Source organism: Homo sapiens, chromosome 12 (assembly GCF_000001405.40).
Source record: "Homo sapiens chromosome 12, GRCh38.p14 Primary Assembly".
In the NCBI taxonomy this organism is placed as follows: Eukaryota; Metazoa; Chordata; class Mammalia; order Primates; family Hominidae; genus Homo; species Homo sapiens.
In genome coordinates this window covers 45171482-45197168 of record NC_000012.12, presented here as the reverse complement: position 1 = coordinate 45197168, position 25687 = coordinate 45171482, and the positions used below count along the sequence as shown (strand labels likewise).

The window sequence follows — 25687 nt, the reverse complement described above, 5'->3', positions numbered from 1 at the left end:
TTCTTGCGTCTTCTCTGTAATTTGGAATGTACCTTAAAATAAAAAGTAAAAACCAAAAAACCCAAAAGAAAAGGCTCCAGTGGATTACTGCCACATTGAGCTCGATAAGCAGACTTCTTCGCTTGGCCCTGCTGGCTCCTGCCTTCATCTCTTTTCACTCTTCTCTTGCTCTTACCTCTCCAGCCACCATCGTCTTTCGCTTCTAGGAGCATGCCAAATGGGTTTCTATCTCACAGCTTTGGCATTCACCATTCTTATTTCCGCAAAAGATTCCTCCTGGTCTTCACGAGCTCCCATTCCTTCTCATTCAGCTGTTGACTCAAATGGGTCACCTTAGGCTTTTTCATTTTTTTCCACTGCATTTTGAGACTTATTTGTTTACCTGTTTGTTTCCTGTCTTTGTTGAGTAAATCTAAGCAAGCTCACTGAGGGCAAGGACTTTGTCTCTTCAACCCAGCATCCCCAACAGCTAGAACAGTGCCTGGTGCAAAATAGGGCTTAATAAGAAATGCTATTGGCTGGGCGCGGTGGCTCACGCCTGTAATCCCAGCACTTTTGGAGGCTGAGGCAGGCGGATTACCTGAGGTTGGGAGTTCAAGACCAGCCTGACCAACATGGAGAAACCCTGTCTATACTAAAAATACAAAAGATTTGCCGGCATGGTGGCACACACCTGTAATCCCAGCTACTGGGGAGGCTGAGGCAGGAGAATCGCTTGAACTCGGGAGGCACAGGTTGCGGTGAGCCGAGACGTGCCATTGAACTCCAACTTGGGCTACGACAGTGAAACTCCGTCTCAAAAAACAAAAAAAACCTATCTAGATGGCTTCAGAAACATTTGTTGAACTGATGAAATACTAAGCTTCTAAAGAAGTCTTTTAGTTTGCTCCTTGGAATTCTAGTCCTTTGACATGACCTAATTAAAAGAAAACAACCACCAAAAGAGAGAGAGAGAGAGAGAAGGAAATCGATGTGTGGCCAAATATAACTGGGAAATACCCCCACCATATCCTCTCTTTGGGATTCACAAAGCCTCTCAGAAACCCTCCTGTAATGAATCCTGTTTGCCTGAATTTAGCAAAGCATTTCTTAAATTTATATGAACATGGAATTCTCTTTCCATTTGATTTCAGAATATGAAATATTAAATGCTATGCTAGGATCTTTCTAAAGTCCATGTTCGATAATAGAGGCAAAAATAACTCTACAATGTATATATGTGTAAAAAAATTTTTTTAATCGTTTTTTTTTCTTTTGAGACAGTCTCACTCTGGAGTACAGTGGCACTATCTTGGTTCACTGCAACCTCCACCTCCCAGGTTCAAGCAATTCTCGTGCCTCAGCCTCCTGAGTAGCTGGGATTACAGGCGCACGCCACCACACCCAGCTAATTTTTGTATTTTCAGTAGAGATGGGGTTTTGCCATGTTGGCCAGGCTGGTCTTGAACTCCTGACCTCAAGCTATCCGCCTGCCTTGGCATCCCACAGTGCTGGGATTACAGGCGTGAGCCACCGCGCCTGGCCTTAAAAATCTGTAAACACATAGGAAGTTGTCTCATTTGACTGGACAATGCAGCCATGCATGGATGCCACATGGTGCTTATTGCAAAGTACTGTTACCGAGCAATAGGCTTGCTTCCTGATGCACACAGAAGCCAGTACTATGGCACCAATTTTTAAGAAAAGAAAAAGCTTTATTGTAAGTTTGACCGGCAAGGAGACAGGAAGCAATGCTCAATCAAATCTGTCTCCCCGAGCTGGTTCTAGGGGCAGGTTTCATAGGCAGAGAGTAACTATGAGGGAGACAGGGAAATGCAAGGAGGCATGATCTGATTGGGTCATGCAACAAAATGGTGTTGGGTCCTTGGTTTTTAAGTTCCTACTGCAACAAAATAGGTTACCCCTTCCTTCTTAATTTGGTCCCCATTTCTTTATCCTGGTATCTACGTTCTGCGCGTGGTTGACTTTTTCATTCTGGCTGGCTCCAGGGCACAAATCGATCACACTTGGTTCATCTGGCCATGCTCAGGTTACATGATTTGCAGCCTGGGAGTCCATTGCAACTGAGAAACCATTCATTATTTTTTTACTGGCAAAGTTGAACCAGATTGTACAGTGGGGCCACCTCTGCATTGACAATCAGATGTGTGATGTCCCTTCCCGCTGGGAACACTGTCTCTGACTGCTGTGGGGAAGGAGCCTGAGAGCGGGTTGTGGATTCTAACCCTGCTGTTGAGTGCAGGAAAGAACTGTGCAGGCAATGGGGCTATTGTGTTTTCATTTCGATCCCAGGAATGAAAGCTCAGCTTAAAAAACATAATTATAATGGACTGTTTTTTTTTTTAACCAATAATTAGTTTTTCTCCCACTAATTTATGTAAGGTATGGTATTCCTAAACAATCATTAATGTATTGTTTTTATACTTTTGAATGACTTTTGAGAATGATTATTATCTTTCTGTGTATACATTGTAATTATTACTAAGGGAGTTCATTTTACATCCATGCTGTACCCATGTTTAGCCTAATTTGGTTTTACTAGCCCCTTGGTACTATCATAGCTCCTCCACCCTCCAAGCAGAAGATTGACTATATTTTAAAACTGGGTGTGAGGCCAGGTGTAGTGGCTCATGGCTGTAATCCCAGCACTTTGGCAGGCCAAAGCGGGTGGATCACCTGAGGTCGGGAGTTCGACACCAGCCTGACCAACATGGAGAAACCCCATCTCTACTAAAAATACAAAATTAGCCGAATGTGGTGGTGCATGCCTGTAATCCCAGCTACTCGGGAGGCTGAGGTAGGAGAATCTCTTGAACCCAGGAGGTGGCGGCTGCAGTGAGCTGAGATCATGCCATTGCATTCCATCCTGGGCAACAAGAGTGAAACTCTGTCTAAAAAAAAAAAAAAAAAAATACAAAAAAAAAAAACTGGATGTGAAAGGAAGAAGTCACATGGTTACTTCTTCACAAGGAATCTCTCTGACGTAAATCTGCATCCTTTCCCTCTTCTCTCCTGGCTGCACCTACCTGCACCTCCCTGCTACTCCTATGTCTCATACACAGAAAAAAGGCTTAGGATTTTTACCAAAGGTCTGGAAATTCCAGAAAAGGCTGCTAGCATCATAATATTTTTTCCCCTCTGTTCACTAAGTCAACAATTTAAACCCTGGTCCATCTCCAAATTCTCCCTCTTCTCAAATGCACCTTTGTTCCCTTTTTATTTTGAGAAGGTTTTTTTTTTTTTCTTTTTTTTAGACAGAGTCTTGCTCTGTCGCCAGGCTGTCATGCAGTGATGCGATCTCGGCTCACTGCAACGTCCACCTCCCGGGTTCAAGTGATTCTCCTGCCTCAGCCTCCCGTGTAGCTGCAACTACAGGCACATGCCACCACGCCCAGCTAATTTTTGTATTTTTAGTAGAGACGGGGTTTCACCATGTTGGCCAGGATGATCTCGATCTCTTGACCTCATGATCCACCTGCCTCGGCCTCCCAAAGTGCGGGGATTACAGGCGTGAGCTACCACACTCGACCTTTTTCTTTTTTTTCTATCAGGACCTAGTCCAGACCTCAGAATTCACAGGAAGTTCAGGTGAGGGAAGGCTGTATGGGGCAGAGGTCTTCCTCACCTATGTATTTTACCACCATTGGGGTAAATGTCGGGTGGCCTTGTTTTCCACATAGGTGTAAAGCATCCATGTGGAAAGGCAATCATGGCCCCAGGGAACCACCTTGGGTGGAAGGCAGATTCTGTCTTTCATGGCTACAGCTTCTCACAAAGGGGAGTCCATATACTTATACCCAGGATAGCAAACCTTCAGAGCCTCTTTCTTCCCCATATTCAGGGGCGGAAGAGAGGGCAGGAAGATAACTGACATGGTTTCTAAATGGCCACATTAAACAATATCCACCTTTGTGTATCAGGTTAGAAAAAAAGACTAATGAGTGGTAAGAGAAGAAAGTGGTTAAAAAGAAAGAATGAAGACAGAAAAAAAATTAAATGTCCTCATAGATGTCTCAGACCAAATACAGTATTTACAGGTAATACTTGTACAAACTTTCTAAACCTGGAAATACACACACTCAAACACATGGACACATGTAATATATAATACAAATAAATATCAATTTATTTTATTGGGGTCAGTGGGTCCCGAGAAGCAATATGGAAGGACGATCACTTATAGGTTTCCATTTTTCAAAGGCCAGCAAGCAGTCCAGGGATACCATAGAGACAGCATTTCTGAATCTAAACAGAGAAAAAGGCTATAAAGGGGCCATTGTTCTCACCTGGAACTTTTCATCCTTACCTGTTTTGTTTTTTTTTTTTAATTTAAAAATATCCCTGCAAAAGCATCTACCTTAAAACGGAATCAGCCAGTATCTTCATTATCAAACAGTTGTTAAAAACAATACACCTCTAAAAGTAGTAACTGTTTATAGAATGATAACGGGGAGGGAGGATACACTAGAGAGAAGAACCCTGCCCCCATCAGCATTTCCTCAAGCCCACTCTAACCAAACCATTTATAATTAACTCCTCATCCTGATAGGAGAACTAGTTCTGCTTATCCCCTCGCTGAAGAACAGTGACTTATCTTGCTGAGGATCAGTGACTCATCTATTGTTTTGGTAGTTAAGATGAAAGTGTAAAGGGCATTTCAAATCAGCTAGAGTAAGAACATGATAGCCATGCTGGTGGCTTCTCCTTTTATCTCTTCTGTGATATAAATACTACCCAAGGCTAAAGGGTGAATATTTGTTAATCTGGTCACTTAACAATGAGTCTTTAAAAAAAGTTGTTGAATTGTTTTTCCATAGGGATCCAAAAGGTCTAGTTATACATAAATAGGAGGAAAAAATGAGAGGAGATGCTTTTAAACAGTGTAGGCCCTCTAAGAAGCAAGGAATGGGAAGAATGTTCCCTGCTGTAGGGTTATGTATTTTACAGATTTGCTAAGCACTGAGTATACCCTCATATTATGTGCTAAGCAAATCTGTAAAATGAGAGAAAACATTCCAACTCAGCTTCCTCTTTTCAATTCTCTCCTCATACTTGTCTTAAAGTCTGCTCTAGAAAAAGAGTATCGGCCGGGCACGGTGGCTCACACCTGTAATCCCAGCACTTTGGGAGGCCAAGGTGGGTAGATCACCTGAGGTCAGGAGTTTGAGACCAGCCTGACCAACATGGTGAAACCCCGTCTCTACTAAAAATACAAAAACTAGCTGGGCATGGTGGCGGGCGCCTGTAATCCCAGTTACTCAGGAGGCTGAGGCAGAAGAATTGCTTGAACCCGGGAAGTGGAGGTTGCAGTGAGCCAAGATCACGCCATTGCACTCCAGTCTGGGTGACAAGATCAAGAGTGAAACTATGTCTCAAAAAAAAAAAAGAAAAGAAAAAGAAAAAAGAGTATCTACCTAGGTTGAAAATTAGAAGATCTCCAAATATGAACCTAGTAAGGGTAAACTTAGCTTAAGTCTTTACTATGCTACTTAGAAGCTGTGTCAACTTGGGCAAATTGCTTAACTTTTGTATGTCAATTTCCTTCTTTTGTGTGGGAAGAAGATACCTGATGGGGATAAAAATAGCTCACCCATTGTATATCAATGTTCTCCTCATGCAACAAATATTTACTTACTCTTACTGTGGGCTGTTCACTTGGGACATAGTGGTGAACAAGACACAGAACTCATCCTCAAGAAGCTTACAGTCTGATGAAAACTTTTATTTGAGTGCCTTACTACGTATGAGTCATGCATTTGCTAAGGACTTTCACATATGTGGCATCAATTAATCCTCACAATAGGAGTGTTATCACTCAGGATTTCTGGGCACTTACAACTTCCACTCTGATTGGCCTGTGGCTGAGTAGTTGTTCTTTCAATAAATATTTATTGAGGGCATACTATGTGCTGGGCACTGTGCTAGACATTGGAGATTTACTGGAGAATCTTGTTGGTGGATCAGCTGTATTCATTGGGCACCTCTCGTGTGAGGTTCTGGTTTTCTCATTTAGTCTTCAACATCGTGGATGTGTGGTAGAAATTATCCCCAGTTTACAGAAGAGGAAACTGAGATTCTGAGGGGTTAAACACAAAGGGCACATAGCAAGGATATTTTCAAGGTTATAGTCTGAACTGCTGTAATAAAGAGACTGCGAAATATAGTGGTTTCATTCATTAATGTTTATATTTCTGTCCCTCTTAACAGGCCACTGTGAGCATGCATTTCAGGTTGTTGGCGCAGCTCTGCTCCATGATGTCGATCTGAAACCCAGATTTTCCTTCTCTTGCCACTGTCATCTCCTGCATGGCCAAAGCTAGGTCACCATCATAGTCATGTTTCAGCCTATGGGAAGGGGGAAAGACAATATTCAAGGCAAGTAGCTTTGTCTCAAAGTAGATGCCCCCAAATTGTGGAAATCCTTTCAAATTACATCCTGCTAACCTGAACTTAGCTGCATGGCCCCATCTAGCTGCAAGCGAGGCTGGGAAATGTAGCTTATGGCTGAGTAGTGCTGTGCCCAGCTGAAACTTAGGAGATTCTACTAATTAGTAAACATAAGGTCACAATGAACACTAAAACAGTTAGTCTCTGGCATAGCTAGTAAGTGGTGAAGCAGGAATTTAAACTCAGATTTGCTTGAATCCAATGCCATGTCACTACCTCTTAGACAAAAGAGCTAGAGAACTCTGGTTCTGTTATCTGTCTGTCTGCAATGTAAAATAATGAATAAAAAAATTTCATTGGCATAGTTTAGGAACAAACAGTTGGAATTGTATGTCAAGTTCCCAAAAATGTGGGGGTGTTAAAATTTTTTTTTCTTATAGATGCCAATGTTTTCTCCACTTTTCTTGAAAACATCTTAAACTTCTAGCAGCCTGGCCTTGTGACTGATATGAACTACTTACGTAAAAGTTATATAAGCTAGAGAAAAAAATATAGCCACTTAAAGAAAGAGGGAGAGAGAGAGAAAGAAAAAGAAAGAAAGAAAGAGAGAGAGAGAAAGAAAGAAAGAAAAGAAAAGAAAAGAGAAAGAAAAAGGAAAGGAGGGAGGGAGAGAAGAAGGGAAGGAGGGAAGAAGGGAAAGAGGGAAGGAGGGAGGGAGGGAGGGAAGAAGGGAAAGAGGGAAGGAGGGAGGGAGGGAGGGAAGGAGGGAAGGAAACCAAACCTGCCATGTCCTTGCCAAATCTGTAACAGGAGATATTTTTAAAGTTGTATGGTGCAGCAAGCTATAAGTTTGCTTAAAGTTAGCTAATGCAGGAAGAGTTACTCAAGAAAACAGTAAAATGTCTTCTTTTTTCTCAAAGCTTTCTCACCACCCAACCCCTACCAACAGAGATCTTTGAAACTATATGTTAGGCTGAAAGAGGAATAAACCATGTTTTCATATTCTTGGCAAAGAAACAGTGATTAACTAGTTTGTTGGGTTTTTTTTGTTTTTTTAATGTTTTAATGGGGTCTTGCTCTGTTGCCCAGGCTGGCCTCAAACTCTTGGCCTCAAGCAATCCTCCCACCTTGGTCTCCTGAGTAGCTTGGACTACAGGCATGTGCTATCACACTCAGCTAGTGATCAGTTTCTTTAAAAAAAGGCAGAGGTTGGGGGAACTCTTTCTATTTCAGAGCAGAAAAAAACACCATGTCTATTTTAAACTACTGTTTCTATGTCACAAGCTTTGCTTGTTTTTATTTATTTTTCTCATCTTTACAAGTAAATTATTATATAGAGTGATGCATAGGTCTAATGGATAACCCAAGCCCATGGGTTCCTTTATAGCTGGGCTTCTTATGGTAAAATATACACTTTTTCTTTCCTTCTGTACACAATCACTAAAGCATAGTTGTCTGGACCACAGTCGACACAAACCCTTTCCCCTTCTTTCACTTTTTCTTTGTCCCTGAAATCTTATCTACTTGATCTTTGCTCCAGTCACTCCAAATGCTTTCTAAAAGCTTACTAAAGATCAGGCTGAGGTGGGAGGATCACTTGAGCCCAGGAGGTCGAGGCTGCAGTGAGCCAAGATCATGCCACTGCACTCCAGCCTGGGTGACAGAGTGATGCCCTGTCTCAAAAAAATGTAGTTACCAAATTCAATGCTTTTATCATTGATTCTTTGATGCTTTTTTTTTTTTTTTTTTTTTTTTTTTTTGACACGGAGTCTCACTCTATTGCCCAGGCTGGAGTGCAATGGTGTGATCTCGGCTCACAGCAGCGTCCACCTCCTAGGTTGAAGCAATTCTCCTGCCTCAGCCTCTCAACTAGTTGGGACTACAGGTGTGAGCCACCATGCCTGGCTAATTTTTGTATTTTTAGTAGAGTTGGGGTTTTCACTGTGTTGGCTAGGCTGGTCTTGAACTCCTGGCCTCAAGTGATCCACCCATCTCGGCCTCAAAGTACTGGGATTGTAGGCATGTGCCACCACACCCAGCCTGCAGCCTTTGATTCTACCAACCATTCCTGTCCTCTCATTTTTTCACATCTGATCTTTGAAAACATTTTACCCTTGACCCTCTGTTCTCTCTGTCCCTCAACAGCCCATTCCTGCCCATTGCTTCAACCTGCACCTCTATGTACATTGTGATGGATCTACCTCTATGGCTCTCCCATGAGGTCCAATCTTATATTCCTTCTTTCTTCCTTTTTTTTTGCTTTGAGACTGGGTCTCACTCTGTCACCCAGGCTGGAGTACAGTGGCATGCAACCTTGAACTCCTGGGCTGAAGTAATCCTCTTGCCTCAGACTCCCAAGTACCTGGGACTTACAGGCATGTGCCACCACACTCGGCTAGTTTTTTAATTTTTCTTAAAGATGGGGTCTCACTATGTTGCCCAGGCTGGTCTCGAACTCCTGGACTGAAGCAATCATCTCGCCTCAGACTTCCAAAGTGCTAGGATTACAGGTGTGAACCACCACGCCTGGCCCCAACGTTGTATTTCTAAGGCATTTCTGACTTAGTGTTTCTATTTAAATGACCCTACCAAAAGCAACAGGTGTTGCAGAGAACATGTTATATTTTTCTCCAAAACCAGTTCCCTCTCCTAACGTTCCTAGTTCTGTCAGTGGTACCACCTATCTCCACCATCCTGGCTTGGAACCTTGGTAAATTAATCCTGATTGCTGGACCCATCACTAATTTCTTCTTTTCCCTAAAGAAGGTCCTTTCTTTTCCTAATCTCCACATCAAAGCAGTCACTAAGTACTGTCAACACTGCCTTCATGATGTTTCTCACATCTTGTGGCTTCTCATCCTTTCCATATTGTCTGCTATCACTATGGTTTAGGACTTAGTGTCTAATCCTTGGATCATGGGAAGAATGGACTTCCTAACTTGTCTCCTACCTCAGGACTTTCTTCCTCTCCCGCGCTCTGTTTCTACCAGAATCCACTCTGTACTCTGCTCCCACGTGAATCTTCTTAAAACATGACTTTCCTTCTATTAATTTCCCCATCAAGAAATCTTTAATAGCTGCCTGATGACTACAGTCCTAATGCTTTACTCTACTTTTTATTTTAACATATGCCAGACATTGATTATTATTGGGTGATTATACTTTCTCATCCCATCCTCAAGTTTATCTATTTCTTTCCATATCCACAGCTACCACCATAGTTCAAGCAGTCACCACGTCTTATCTGGAGTATTACCATTGCCTTCTAACTGACCTCTATTTCTATTCTTGTCTCACTGCAATTCATCCCCAAGTTGGTCCGAGTGTTGTGGGTTATTGTTTTTTTGTTTTGCTTTTTTGTTCGTTTGTTTGTTTGTTTTGAGATGGAGCCTTGCTCTGTCGCCCAGGCTGGAGTGCAATGGCACAATCTTGGATCGCTGCAACCTCTGCCTCCTGGGTTCAAGCAATTCTCCTGTCTCAGCCTCCTGAGTAGCTGTGACTACAGGTGCACACCACCACGCCTGGCTAATTTTTGTATTTTTAGTAGAGACGGGGTTTCACCATGTTGGTCAGGCTGGTCTGGAACTCCTGACCTTAGGCGATCCACCCACCTCGGCCTCCCAAAGTGCTGGGATTATAGGCGTAAGCCACTGTGCCCAACATGGGTTATTGTTAAGCTGATTTAACATTGCAGTTCATACTCCACAACCAGAGTGGTCTTTTAAAAAGTAAGTGGCTTCTGTGATAGCTGGCCTCCAGTGAACCATGTCTCTCCATATTCACATGCTCATGTGTTCAGCTCCCTCATTTAATCTGAGTGCTGTCACTCACTTGAGCCAGTAGAACGCAGAAGTGATACTGTGCCAGTTTTAAAGCTGAAGCTTTAAGAAGTCTCAGCAGCTTCTACTTTTGTAATTTTAGATTCTGTGAGCTTTCATATGAGAGGTCTATGTATCTTGTTGGAGAGATCACATTAGAGCAAGCTTGTCCAACCCACAGCCTGCAGGCAACATGCAGCCTGCAACTTTGAATGTGGCCCAACACAAATTTGTAAACTTTCTTAAAACATTATGAGATTTTTTTGTGATTTTTTTTTTAAATTTTAGTTCATCAGCTATCATTCATGTTAGTGTATTTTATGTGTTGCCCAAGACAATTCTTCTTCCATTGTGGCCCAGGGAAGCCAAAAGATTGGATATCTCTGCATTAGAGAGACGCTGAAACAACATGGAGAGAGAGAGAGTCCAGTTGTGCCAGTGTCCAGCAGAGTCCTGCTGTCTAGTCATCTCAGCCAAGGTGCTAGAAAAGGGACTGAGCCATCTTGACTGTCCAGTTTAGTGGAACCCTCAACTAACTGTGGTCCCAGCTGACACCACACAAAGCAGAAGAACCAGGCAGCTGAGCCTGTCAACTCACAGAATTGTGAGAAATCATAAAATGGTAATTGCGTTAAAATACCATGTTTTGAGATAGTTTGTTATGTAGCAATAGATAACCAAAACGCTTAAAACTAAATCCAGCTTCTGAACCTCACAGTAGCCTGTAAGGCCCTACATGATCTGTCTCCTGCCTAACATCCTGGACCTCATGTTCTATTCCACTTGGTATGTCCTGCCGTATGGCTTATACCTATATGCCGTATGGCATGTAGTATGTCTCTCAGACATACTATCTGCTTGGAATGCAGTTGACCTACCCAGACAGCACATTGGAAGCAGATCTCTTCTTTTTTATTTTTTATTTTTATTTTTGAGACCGTATTGCTTTGTTGTCCAGGCTGGAGTGCAGAGGTGCGATCTTGGCTCACTGCACCCTCTGCCTCCCGGGTTCAAGCAATTCCCCTGCCTCAGCCTCCCAAGTAGCTGGGACTGCAGGCACACACCATGGTGCCCCGCTAATTTTTGTATTTTTGTAGAGACAGGATTTTGCCATGTTGACTGGGCTTGTCTCAAACTCCTGACCTCAGGTCATCCACCTGCCTTAGCATCCCAAAGTGCTAGTATTACAGGTGTGAGCCACCATGCCTGAAAGCAGAGCTCTTCTTGTTCTCTTCTCCTCCTCCCCACTCTACCATGCCAGTTTACTTGCTTCAGAGTAATTATTCTCTAAAAATTCCCATTTGTGTACTTGCTTATTGCCTATCTCTCCTCTCCACTCCCTCTAGAACCTAAGCTTCAAGAAAGCAGACACCTTGTCTATCTGGTCAACCAGATGAAGATTTATCATGAAGCTAAGGTTGCTTATGCTCAGGGGCCCTCATTTGCATATGCCCCTTCCAAAGCCACATATTTAGTTTTGTATTTGTAATTTTGTATTCCTTTTCTTAAAGAAGGTTCCCCAAATTGTTTAAACCTCAGGCCTCTGTCAAAGAAAAACAGCCACACATCAGTTAAAATGGTAAAACAGATTTTATTTAATAACTACTGACAGTGAGGAAGAGTTGAACTCCAACCCAAGTTGTACAGAGGTGATGGGGCTTTTCTTTTCTTTTTCTTTTTTATTTTTTTAGACAGGGTCTCACCTGTTACCGAGGCTGGAGTGCAGTGGTGCGATCTCGGCTCACAGCAACCTCCGTCTCCCGAGTTCAGGTGATTCTCCTGCCTCGGCCTCCCGAGTAGTTGGGATTACAGGTGTGTGCTGCCATGCCCAGCTAATTTTTGTATTTTTAGTAGAGATCGGGTTTCACCATGTTGGCCAGGCTGGTCTCAAACTCCTGGCCTCAGGTTATTCACCCATCTCAGCCTCCCAAAGTGCTGGGATTACAGGCATGAGCTGGCAGGCTGGGTGGCTGGTGATAGGGCTTTTCAAAGGGAGAATGAGGGAGTAGGAAGGGGGCATGGCAAGGGCTTGAGCAGAGTTAGGGAAGTGAAAAACCATAAAAAGCTGGAAGGGGAATGGATCTATGTGAAATCCATCTGGGTTTGCTAATCGGCATTTGTCAAATTTAAGCATCTAACCCTCCCAGAGAGATGGGGAGTTGGGCCCTATCATTTAGCTTCCTCATTCATCTTCTTTGAACAGCACTTTCATCCTGTCACTTCCCTATTTCAGAAATCTTCAGCAACTCCCACATGAATGGAGAATAAAATTCAGATCTCTGAGCCTGCCATTCAAGGCCAGCTACAACCTGCTTGTTCACCCTTACCTCCTACTTCTTGTCTTCATAAACACTACCATCGCCAGACAGGTCTCTTTACAGCTTCCTGAACATTTCTGGCTCCTTCCATCTACCCATTACTTCACATTACATCATCTGGAGATCAACTTTCCTCCACTCTTAGCCCCCTGTGAACCTTATCCCTGCTTCAAGATCCTTCTCCGTGAAGCCTTTCCAGACTCAGGTAGAGCCCGAGTTCTCTCCCTCTTCTGAATTCTGGCCAGGCAGGCCATTCGTTTAGAACTGCCTGCCATCCATGACCAGTTCCCTTTTCTCACCGAGCCCTGCCTGCTGATCTGGATTATACAAGCACTTCATCCAAGGACCATATCCTCACTGCAGCCATTCCTAGTTTAGAGGCCCCAGTGGAGATTGAGGTCCCAGAGAGGCCAGTTGGGTTGTGTATTTGGAACCCACTGAGAATAAATAACAGAATTTTATAGCTTCTTTGAAACCAAGTAAAATCACCAGAAATGTGAACAGAAAAGAAATAAAGTCATGTAAGATGGGGATATAATAATTTAGTGTAAGTTCCTAAATCACAAATTCTTCAAAGGTAGCTCTATAATAGTTCTGGAAAAATACCTGGTGCAGGAGCATTTACTGCAAGATTGCACACCCAAAGATATTACAGTATAGCAATTGATAATGTGGTGATAATGGTGGCAGTGATATTGCTGGCAATGCAAAGCAAACTCTAGTCCTTTAAGGTAAATGAGACATTGGTATTGTTTGATGGGGTCCTGCAATGAGCAGAAATTATTCACTGCCTTCTATGTTAACAACACCAAAGGAAACAAAGTTTTTCCAAAGGGGAGAATAATTTATATTTCATTTTTTAAAAAATGGTTACATTTTCCCCAAGGCATAATGGAAGAGTCTCCTTCAAACAATATACTTCTAGAAAAGAAAGTACTTTTAGGAAATGGGGAAGAGCTTTTGTTTCCTGCTAGCATCAGGCTTTTTGTCTTCTTTTGTGTCTTCTTTTCAGCGATAGGCAAAACGACAGTTTTTTAGTAGAAGTTAAAATTATAGCCCTACTAAAATCTACTAAAATACAGTATTTTATTTCAGTTTAGACTCATTTCCAATTGCATTTAATCTTTTCCAGGCTTGTTATTGCTTTTTCTTACAATTTCCAATGTGAAATGACATTTTTAGTCTCTTTTGCCCTCTATTGAATTGCCCTGGTAATAACAGTAACTAGCAAAATGCTAGTTCTCTAGCATGTAGGAGAAGACATAAATATTTGATCTCAGATCAGTGATGTGTGTAATTGTTGCTATAGAGGAAGCCTTTGATTGCTGCCCAAATCTGGAGGCTTATTAAAATTTAATTTCTGGATCTTTTTCACATATATAAAACTCAGAACATTTCATAGTATATAAAGTAACCCTTCCCTGTTCCTATGGCAAGCTACTCTTTCTCCCAGGGATGGAGCAGTAAGAAATGCGTCTCATCCACAGGAATAGGATTTAGATATGAAAGAGCAATTCCTTCAATGAGTACCGAAAAATTCAGGAAAGAAATATCAAGGGAAATTGTGGATCATCATGTCTAGAAATCATCACATATGAGACAGATTCTGATTTGTCTGCATAACTTTTGGATTATTAATATGGCTAGTTTCTGAAAAATTATAGTAAAGCAAAAGAGGAAAAAATAGATATGAAAGTAATTAATATATTAGCTTGCCTTCATAATTTAATAGCAATTAAATGCTATTCATAAATTATATTTGCAGAATTCCAACCATAAAAAAACATAAATTATGCAAAATTATTTGGGCAACAATGGCAGAAGTATAATATGTAAAGTTTTTCCTTTTAATACTTACATTACAATTGTAAGTGGGATTTGGCTACTGGCTGACTCATCTCATTATATCCAGATGAATGAAGTACTAAAGAAGCAGATAATCCTGAAGCTTAATTTTATATGTTAGTTTCAAAGCCTCTCAGCTGTACTCAAAGCTGTTATAGTAGCACAACTGACTGATCTATCTTCTACCTCTTCTGGTTTCCCTCCTTCCCTGATAGGATAGGACATGAATCCTAAGGGATTAAAAAAAAGTTAGCAAAGCAATAATGTAGGTAATCCAAGAGGGCTAGATATACATATCTTCCCTTAGATAATTCAAGATTGACCGAAAAGTAAATGTAAAAACAATCTAATGAGATTTTTAGAAACCTAAAGAGCTCGGATTCTCTTGTTGGCAGGCATTATGCAATTAATTTCACTACTGGGATTGAAGATTAGAATGGCTAAAAGTACAAGTTAAGAAAATAGACTCTGGAGTTGGCCGGGCGCGGTGGCTCACACCTGTAATCCCAGCACTTTGGGAGGCTGAGGCGGGTGGATCACTTGAGGTCAGGAGTTCGAGACCAGACTGGCCAACGTGGTGAAACCCTGTCTCTACTAAAAATACAAAAATTAGCCGGGTGTGGTGGCATGCGCCTGTTATCCCTGCTACTTGGGAGGCTGAGGCAGGAGAATTGCTTGAACCTGGGAGGTGGAGATTGCAGTGAGCCAAGATTGCGCCACTGCACTCCAGCCTGGATAATGGAATGAGACTGTTTGTCTCAAGAAAAAAAAAAGAAACTAGACTCTGGAGTCAAACAATCTAAAAGTTCAACATGGGTTATGCCACTTAGTTGCTGTGAGATCTTAAGCAAGTTATGTAACTCGCTAGGCCTCAATTTCCTCATTTGGGTAATGAAAAAAATAAAACTTCATAGAGTTGTTCTGAAAGTTAAATGAGAAAATATCTTTAAAATACTAGAAAAGGACTTGGCCAGAACAGACTTCTGATTAATACTAGTCATTATTAGCATCATCACAATGATTAAAATTCTCAACATTGTTATTTTAGCATTAATAATAAAGATAATAGTAATAGCCTTAAGAAGGAAAATTTCCCTAGGCATTTGCTAGAAAAGAAAGCAAAGAGAGGAGGTCTGACTTCTGTGCATGCTTCCACCCTGGACTTACATTATGCTTGCAACTCAATATTGTGTTTGAGGCTGTGACCCAGGGCAGGATAAAGCCCACAATATTTCTTGGCATCGCACATGAGACACCATTGTGATCTTGTGTTTACTGTCTACTTTCTAAGCAGAGTTCTGAGTTGTTCAGGTGACTGATCAACCAGCAACCATGGAAGTCTTGAGCTGTCAGTTATGTAGTTCTTCATTTTGGGTATACATGGTCCTGGTTTGGGCCAAAAATTAGAATGAGGGACTTATTTGACTTTATAACTTCTTCATATAGAAAACTGTTATACAACCCTGGGCCCCAAAAGTCAGACAGGATGAGATTTTTATTCTCAAGACATATGCATAATTCTGAAGTAAAAAGTAGCAATTTGTTTCAAATATAGAAATATGGAAATTGAATATAAGAAGTTATTTTTCTTTTTTGCCATACTATTTGAAAAGTCCATGATCATTATTTCTGAAAATTAATATGTATCATATTAAACTATTTAAACAGGGTAAAAAGTATGCCATGAAAATAAATTATCCTGCCACCCTAACCCTGGTATTTGAGTTTACTTTCTCAGAAATAAATATTATTACTGTTTGATTATTATGTTAAACATAATCTTTTAATCAAGATACCTTTCTCTGGGATTTTCTTGGTGTTATACTGAGCAGGGGTCTAAATATCAGAAGACTCCTCATCATCAAATTAAAAAACAATTGGGCCTAGCACGGTGGCTTATGCCTCTAATCCCAGCACTTTGGGGGCCAAGGCAGGCAGATCACTTGAGGTCAGCAGTTCGAGACCAGCCTGGCCAACATGGTGAAACCTTGTCTATACAAAAAATACTAAAATTAGGCCGGGGGAATCCCAGCACTTTCGGAGGCTGAGGCGGGCAGATCATGAGGTCAAGAGATAGAGAGCATCCTGGCCAACATGCTGAAACCCCGTCTCTACTAAAAATACAAAACATTAGCTAAGTGTGGTGGTGTGTGCCTGTAGTCCCAGCTACTGGGGAGGCTGAGGCAGGAGAATTGCTTGAACCTAGGAGGCGGAGATGGCAGTGAGCCAAGATCACACCACTGCACTCTAGCCTGGTGACAGAGCAAGACTCCATCTCAAAAAAAAAAAAAAAAAAAAAATTAGCCTAGTGTGGTGGCACATGCCTGTAGTCCCAGCTACTTGGGAGACTGAGGCAGGAGAATCACTTGAATCCTGGAGGCAGAGATTGCAGTGAGCCGAGATCACACCACTGCACTCCAGCTGGGGCACCAGCAAGACTCCATCTCAAAAAACAAAACAAAAGAAAACAATTGCTTTGTCACTCTAGAAACTCTAAGGAGGCAAAGTCAAATATGTTGTGTCAAAATCTCTAAAGGGATGCTCCTAATGGTTCCAGTATTATAAAATGACCTGGGAAAAGCACTGAGGATATTTTCTAATTAGATATGGACCTAGATTTTAAATTTGGCTTTGGGACCAGGACTATCCCATTACCTTAATTTGGATCTGAAAGATTTATCATGATTTACATGCATAGTTCTGAATACAGTTTAATTAGGCACATATGATTGCAGGATAAATACAGACAGAGGAGTGTTATTTTTGTGTGTCTTGTTATCTCCAAGCTAAATATGAATGGCAACAGCAGTGCAACACTTGAATTGTTCTACATTTGTTATCCTACAAAATGGGCTCTTCTTGAGTGATAACTTTTAAACAATCAGAAACCCAATAAGATATTTTGGTCATTGTCCTTCAGTTAGCTGCTACATGGTATGCTTAGTTAGTTGCATTATCTTTTCAGTTGGACCTTTGACTTGATAGAAACTGATGATAAAAAGATGAGGTTCTTTTCCTGCTCACAAACATCTTTTATTATTATTATTATTATTATTATTATTATTATCATCATCATCATTAGTATGAGACAGAGTTTCTCTCTGTCACCCATATTGGAGTGCAGTGGCACCATCTCAGCTCACTGCAACCTCCACCTCCCAGGTTCAAGTGATTCTCCTGTCTCAGCCTCCCAAGTAGCTGAGATTTCAGGCACCCACCACCATGCCTGGCTAATTTTGTATTTTTAGTAGAAACAGGGTTTCACCATGTTGGCCAGGCTGGTCTTGAACTCCTGATCTCAAGTGATCCACTCGCCTTGGCCTTCTAAAATGCTGGGATTACAAGTGTGAGCCATTGTGTCCAGCCCACAAACATCTTTTATATCAGGTAAAAGTAGATCAGTGGTCAGAAATTATAGCAGATGGCAAATTGTGTGTTGCCAGTAACAAGCTATAAGTTATGCCTCCTCTGCCAATACATTTCACACTCTTCTGCTATTGAGTTACTGCTTAGTGGCCTTTCGTTTCAACTTGAAGAACTTTTTAAAGCATTTATTTTAAGGTAGGTGTAGTGGTGATGAACTTCAGCTTTTGTTTGTCTGGGAAAGTCTTTATCTCGCTTTCATTTTTGAAGGAGAGTTTTTCTGGGTATGGTATTCTTGGCTGGCAGGCTTTCTTCTTTAGTACTTCAAATATATCATCCCACTCCCTTTTGGCTTGTGAGGTTTCTGCTTTACCTCTCTTTCATTTTTGAAGGAGAGTTTTTCTGGGTATAGTATTCTTTGTTGGCAGGTTTTTCTTCTTTCAGTACTTCAAATATATCATCCTACTCCCTTTTGGCTTGTGAGGTTTCTGCTGAAAAATCTGCTGATAATCTACTGGAGGACCCCTTGTATGTGACAAATTGTTTCTCTTGCTGCTTTCAAAATTGGTATTGTCTTTGGCTTTTGACAATTTGAGTATAATGCATTTCAGTGTGGATTTCTTTTTTTTTTCTTTTTCTTTTCTTTCTTTCTTTTTTTTTCTCTTTTTGAGTTGAAGTCTTGCTCTGTTGCCTAGGCTCAAGTGCAGTGGCATGATCTTGGCTCACTGCAACCACTGCCTCTCAGTTTCAAGTGATTCTCATGCCTCAGCCTCCCAAGTAGCTGGGATTACAGGCACCCGCCACCATGCCCAGCTACTTTTTGTATTTTTAGTAGAGATGGGGTTTCATCATGTTGGTCAGGCTTCTCATGAACTCCTGACCTCAAATGATCTGCCCACCTTGGCCTCCCAAAGTGCTGGGATTACAGGAGTGAGCCACTGTGCCTGGCCCATGGATTTCCCTAGGTTCATATTTGGCATCCCTTTGGGTTTCTTGGATCTGGATGTTCATTCCCTTCCTAAGATTTGAGAAGCTGTCAGTTGTTAGTTCTTTGAATCAGTTTTCTCATTCTTTCTCTCTTTCTTCTCCTTTTGAAACTCTCACAATACATATTTGGTCTGCTTAATGGTGTTCTGTAATTCTCTTAGGCTTACTTTTACTCTTTTTCATTCTTTTTTCTTTTTGCTCCTCTGAAGGAATTATTATCAGTGACCTGTCTTTGAGTTCACTGATGATCCTTTCTTCTGCTTGATCTAGTATGCTGCTGAACCCCTCTAGTGAATTTTTCAGGTCATTTGTGTTCTTCAGCTTCATATCTTATATTTCTCTTTGATGCTTTTAAATATTTGCTACCTCTTCCTTGAAATTCTCATTTTGTTCATGCATTGTTTCTCTTAACCTCAATGAGCATCTTCATGAGAGCTATTTTTAATTCTCTATCAGACAAGTTAAATAACTGTTTCATTAGGTCATTTTCTGAAGATTTATTTCATTCCATTGTTTGGAACATCTTTGCCTGGTGCTTCATTTTTCTTGACCCCCTGTGTTGTGTCTACATGTTAGACAAAGCGGGTACCTCTCTCAGTCTTCATAAACTGGCATGGTAAAGGTGAAGACCCCCACCAGTCAGCCTAGTCATAGATTATGAGGGTCTCTTCCAACTCCTTCCCTCCCCAGGAAGAAGCAGTTAGCTGTGTTTTGCCTATTTGCCCTGTGCTAAGCCATGGGTAGGGGAGAGCTATGGCATCTACTAGCCAGAGCTACTGTTTCTTCTCTCCTCCAGGTGACTAGATTGTACTGAACCCATTAGAGCTTCAGGACTGGTGAGACAGATGCAAGTTCTTTGGGAAGGCCTGGAGGAGTTATGGATCAATTCTTTCCCTCCTCAGGAGAGGCTAAATGCTGGCATTCTTATAAGCTTGCTCTGTGCTGAGCAGGGGAGAGGAACAATGACATCTACCAGCCCAAGTCACTGTATCCATTTTCCTCCAGGTGGTTAGACTGTGCCAAATCTTTCAGCGTTCCAAGACTGGAAAAACAGAAGTGAGTCCTTTCTGGAGCCCCCTTAGAAGAGTTAGGGTGCTGTGAACCAACCCCTTTTATCCTCTAGGTGAAACTTGGAGCTAGTGGGTCTCTTCTTGATTGTATGGCACTGTGCCAGGGCAGTGTCTCTAGCAAGAGGGTGTCTTGAGTCTCCCTAATAGTTTCAGTGAGTTGGTTTCATAGTCTCCTGGCATGCAGAAGTCTTTCAATTCATTTCTGATTTCTCACAAAGGAATTTGTCCATGAATTGTTGCTAAATTGCTGTGTCTGTGGGCTGGGTTGAGGTGGGCCCAAGCTTCCTACTCTGCCACCAGAATGCATTCATTCATTCCTTCTTTCTTTCACTCTCTCTCTTTCTCTCTTTCTTTCTTTTTCTTTCCTCTTTCTCATGCCTTCTCACTTGGGGCGCCAGCCATTGATATGGGATTGCTCTTTTCCCCAAAGGGGAAAATATATGTTAACATGTATTAACCACTAAAATTGAGCATTAGCTCTTCTTTCAGCTGCTCTTTATAGATGACAAATGCAGGTGAAGAAGGTGGTCTCTGAATTTAGAGAGATTATCTCAAAGAAGAAAGGGATTGTCTATTAATAGATACTAGGGAGACTTGGGAAGTTTGAATAAGCTTACCAGGGTTAAGTTTCTGAGAGGTAGGGTTGAAGATTTTTAACTGGAAAAGTTGATACTTCATCAGTTAGAATCTATTATCTCTAAAGTAAGACTGAGTTATAAAGAGAATCAAGAAGACTCACAATCAAGGAGTCTAGAAGAATCCAATTTTTTTCTCAAGAAAAAATACAGAATCTGAAAAACTAATATTAATTATCATAAGTATGTTCTTTAAGAAGGTGGGATGGAATACTAAGCACTTGGGATTTCAACAGCATTTCACTTAGTCTTACTCCATTTTGTTGTTGTTGTTTCTTAATATTTTTTCTTTTTCCTTTTTTTTTTTTTTAGCATCTATTGTTGGGGTGATCGGACCTAACACCAGGTTGTGGGGACAACGAAGTCCAGAAGAGTGAAAGGAATGAGAAAAGACAGTTTGAGAGAGAAAGTGGGCCCAGGGGGCCAATGCGAGTATGGAGGCTGTGAAGGCCCCGAGCCCTGGAAGCCCAGACTATTTATTGGTGATCAAACAAAGAAACAGGTGGTGAGAATGTGGGGTTGAAAGGGAGCATTGCATTAAGCACATGATTTACAGCTGTGATGGTTTAGCATATGCTCTGCTACTTGAGATAATGGAGAGCAGGTTCTTTTAACTCAAGATACAATAGATCCTGGGAGAGCAGGGAGCAAGGAGCCAGCCAGCCTAGACACATTCCAGAGGCCATGAGCCCTGGATTCTTTCCAAGCCACAAGGGGTTTTATGCCCTGGGCTTAGATTATGGTGCATCAGGGTAGCCTTCCACCCTTTGGCGCAGAGCTTGGTGTTCCAAAGGCCACGAGGGGTTTTAGACCCAGGATCCCAGACATATTTCAAGACTTTTTTGTATTATGTCAGACATGCAAGCCCTGCCTCAGCTTCTCTCCCAACACTCAGCTTTTCTCCCAACATTTATTAAATAGCTCCTATGTGCAAAGCAGTGTGCCGGGTACCTTAGTCACAGTGGGCACCAACATTTAACCAGTCTCTGGCTACATGAACCTTAGAAATGCTTAGATAAAAAAGGTACATATCAGCAGTTATGTTATATATATAAATTATGTAAATAAGTTATTTTATACCAAAAAAGTACGTATTTTCCAGTGCAACTTAATTAATTGGTATTCTGATTTATACATCAATCTAAGATGACTTTGTTAATATGAGTCCACAAGAGGCTATCTAGATACGTGGGTTAAATTGAGTTTCTACACCTGCTAAGCTGAGAGCCAAACTGTGGTGCTTGGAGACGCATTAAAGGCACAATCACTCTTGGCAGTGCTTCTGGGTGCTCAGCAGGCATCTCACCCTAAGAACTCTAGGCCATTCTGATTCATTTCAGTAGTAGGGAGCAAGTTTTTTTTTTTTTTTTTTGAGATGGAGTCTCACTCTGTTGCCAGGCTGTCAGGCTGGGGTGCAATGACACCATCTCTGCTTACTGCAACCTCTGCCTCCCAGGTTCAAGCAATTCTCCTGCCTCAGCCTCCCCAGAGTAGCTGGGACTACAGGTGCACGCCACCACACCCAGCTAATTTTTGTATTTTTAGTAGAGACGGGGTTTCACCATGTTGGCCAGGATGGTCTCAATCTCGTGACCTTGTGATCCACCCACCTCGGCCTCCCAAAGTGCTGGAATTACAGGCATGAGCCATCGTGCCCGGCCGGGAGCAAGTTCTTATACCCGTTCACATATACCACTACACAGATGCCCTCACTGAAAAATATGAAAAATAAACATAGAGTTTTGTTTTTGTTTTAAATAATAAGAGGTGGGTATGAGGGGGATTTTTCAAATTAGAAATATTGGCATTAGAAGGTAGATATAATTCAACAGTTAAAGAAAGTGTAATTAAAAACCATGATTTACCCCGGGCCGAGGGTGAGGCAGGTCGGGCGTCCCCACACCGGGCCCGGGCACCGGGAGTGGGCGTCTGGGCAGCACCGGGTGATGGCCCTGCTGCTGGTGCTCCTCGCCTCCTGGGGCCTTGGGCAATGAGGGGGCCGGTGGGCGTGGGCTGAGTGGCCGTGGGCGCCATGGAGTGGGTGCTGTACAAGTGGACCAACTATCTGAGCAGTTGGCAGCCTTGATGGTTCTTTCTCTGTAGGGGAATATTGTCCTATTATGATTCTCCTGAAGATGCCTGGAAAGGTTGCAAAGGGAGCATACAAATGGCAGTCTGTGAAATTGAAGTTCATTCTGTAGATAATACATGCATGGACCTGATAATCCCCGGGGAACAGTATTTCTACCTGAAGGCCAGAAGTGTGCCTGAAAGATAGCGGCGGCTGGTGGCCCTGGGATCAGCCAAGGCTTGCCTGACTGACAGTAGGACCCAGAAGGATAAAGAGTTTGCTGAAAACACTGAAAACTTGAAAACCAAAATGTCAGAACTAAGACTCTGCTGTGACCTCCTTGTTCAGCAAGTAGATAAAACAAAAGAAGTGACCACAACTGGTGTGTCCAATTCTGAGGAGGGAATTGATGTGGGAACTTTGCTGAAATCAACCTGTAATACTTTTCTGAAGACCTTGGAAGAATGCATGCAGATTGCAAATGCAGCCTTCACCTCTGAGCTGCTCTACCACACTCCACCAGGATCACCACAGCTGGCCATGCTCAAGTCCAGCAAGATGAAACATCCTATTATACCAATTCATAATTCATTGGAAAGGCAAACGGAGTTGAGCACTTGTGAAAATGGATCTTTAAATATGGAAATAAATGGTGAGGAAGAAATCCTAATGAAAAATAAGAATTCCTTATATTTGAAATCTGCAGAGATAGACTGCAGCATATCAAGTGAGGAAAATACAGATGATAATATAACCGTCCAAGGTGAAATAATGAAGGAAGATAGAATGGAAAACCTGAAAAATCATGACAATAACTTGTCTCAGTCTGGATCAGACTCAAGTTGCTCTCCAGAATGCCTCTGGGAGGAAGGCAAAGAAGTTATCCCAACTTTCTTTAGTACCATGAACACAAGCTTTAGTGACATTGAACTTCTGGAAGACAGTGGCATTCCCACAGAAGCATTCTTGGCATCATGTTGTGCTGTGGTTCCAGTATTAGACAAACTTGGCCCTACAGTGTTTGCTCCTGTTAAGATGGATCTTGTTGAAAATATTAAGAAAGTAAATCAGAAGTATATAACCAACAAAGAAGAGTTTACCACTCTCCAGAAGATAGTGCTGCACGAAGTGGAGGCGGATGTAGCCCAGGTTAGGAACTCAGCGACTGAAGCCCTCTTGTGGCTGAAGAGAGGTCTCAAATTTTTGAAGGGATTTTTGACAGAAGTGAAAAATGGGGAAAAGGATATCCAGACAGCCCTGAATAACGCATATGGTAAAACATTGCGGCAACACCATGGCTGGGTAGTTCGAGGGGTTTTTGCGTTAGCTTTAAGGGCAACTCCATCCTATGAAGATTTTGTGGCCGCGTTAACCGTAAAGGAAGGTGACCACCGGAAAGAAGCTTTCAGTATTGGGATGCAGAGGGACCTCAGCCTTTACCTCCCTGCCATGAAGAAGCAGATGGCCATACTGGACGCTTTATAAGAGGTCCATGGGCTGGAATCTGATGAGGTTGTATGATGGCTGCTGGGCAGCACCTCCTAACTTCAGGGAATAAAGTGCTAAAGTGTAAAAAAAAATAAAAATAAAAATAAATAAATAAATAAAATTAAAAAAAATAAAAACCATGATTTCACAGCATCAATCATGCTTTTTATATTCCAAACTTCAAGAATTCATCCTATTATATTTTTATTATTTTACATTCAGAAATTACCCAAAGCGTTGATCTAAATCTACCATGTGATTACAAATTTCTTAAAAAGTCATGAAGTCCTTCACAAATTATTCATTTACTCAAGATTAAGTGTTATATTGGCTATTACATTCTCTAATAAATCATCTTATCTATTATTTGTACAAAGGATTTACACATTTGACTATGGTTTTTAGCTTGCTGCTTATTAAATCTTAAGCCCTTGGAAGATGAAATTTTAAAAATGCTTGAGATAATATATTTTACATGAATTGAATGATTCAAAAACAACCATAAAAAAGCAAATTCAATTGTATCTACTTGGAATTGCTAAATGAGTTCCATCTATGTGGTTTTTAATTGTCCTCTATCTTGTAACTTTTACCAGTATTTCATAACTAGATGTTTTCCTTAATTACTCTGGCCCTACAATGAGAATAAAAATAAGCTAGCACAAACATACCCTGACACAATTGTGCAGAAAACTCACCTTGGACTTTGCTAATGCATGCAAAGCATATCCCCAAGGCTTCTTTTTTTCTAGTCTCTTTTTTCCCAGGGGACGGCTCTGGAAGTGATCAACAGATTGTCTCCCTCTGAAGGGTATGGCTTGAGTTGAAAAAGATTTCAACCATAAATAGGTATTTATTTTCTTTGTGCCTGGAGAATATATGCTCATTAATTTTAAGAAATTTCAGCATTGTGATTTATTACAATAATAGTAATAATAATACTGCTAAAATTGGCATCATGTATATATTAAGTACTTAACCGGGTTATAACACCACATTGTTATGTAACATGAAAAGTCATTACTTAACATTGAGTTCATTAAAGCCACACACACAAAATGTAAATTACAAAGGAAATGGGCAAGTACATTCTCAAAATATGTAAAATTTCAGTGCTTTCTATATGGTTAGCACTATGTCAAATGCATTATGTGTATTCACTCCTAATCTTCATGACAACTTTGGAAAATAGATACTATTAGTCTCCCCATGTTAGAGGTAAAGAAAGTAGAGTCGGCTGGGTGCGGTGGCTCACGCCTGTAATCCCAGCACTTTGGGAGGCTGAGGCGGATGGATCACTTGAGGTGTGGAGTTCGAGACCAGCCTGACCAACATGGTGAAACCCTGTCTCTACTAAAAATACAAAATTAGCCAGGCGTGGTGGTGCATGCCTGTAATCCTAGCTACTTGGTAGGCTGAGGCAGGAGAGTCACTTGAACCCGGGAGGCAGTGGTTGCAGTGAGCCGAGATCGTGCCACACTCCACCCTGGGCAACAAGAGTGAAACTCTTCTAAAAAAAAAAAAAAAGAAAAAAAAGAAAAAGAAAGTAGAGTCACAGAGACATGGCAAGTTAGTGTCAAGATCTGGACCCAGGCAGTCTGGCTCCAGTGCTGGAAGTCTTTACCATTAAGCTATGTTACTGCTTTGTGACACCACAGAATCACAAATACTATGATTCTGAACAAATCACAGAAAAGAACCAGGG

At 41.5% G+C, this 25687-nt stretch overlaps 1 pseudogene across 1 annotated transcript in view; it reads left to right on the top strand.

Moving 5' to 3' along the window:
* PLEKHA8P1 (pleckstrin homology domain containing A8 pseudogene 1) overlaps positions 1–24135 on the top strand; it is a 42973-nt pseudogene extending 18838 nt beyond the window's left edge. The window contains exons 2-3 of the transcript NR_037144.1: positions 20736–20928; positions 22527–24135. The product of NR_037144.1 is annotated as a pleckstrin homology domain containing A8 pseudogene 1 (transcript). The remainder of the gene's footprint in view (positions 1–20735; positions 20929–22526) is intronic.
* The last annotated feature ends 1552 nt before the right edge of the window (positions 24136–25687 follow it).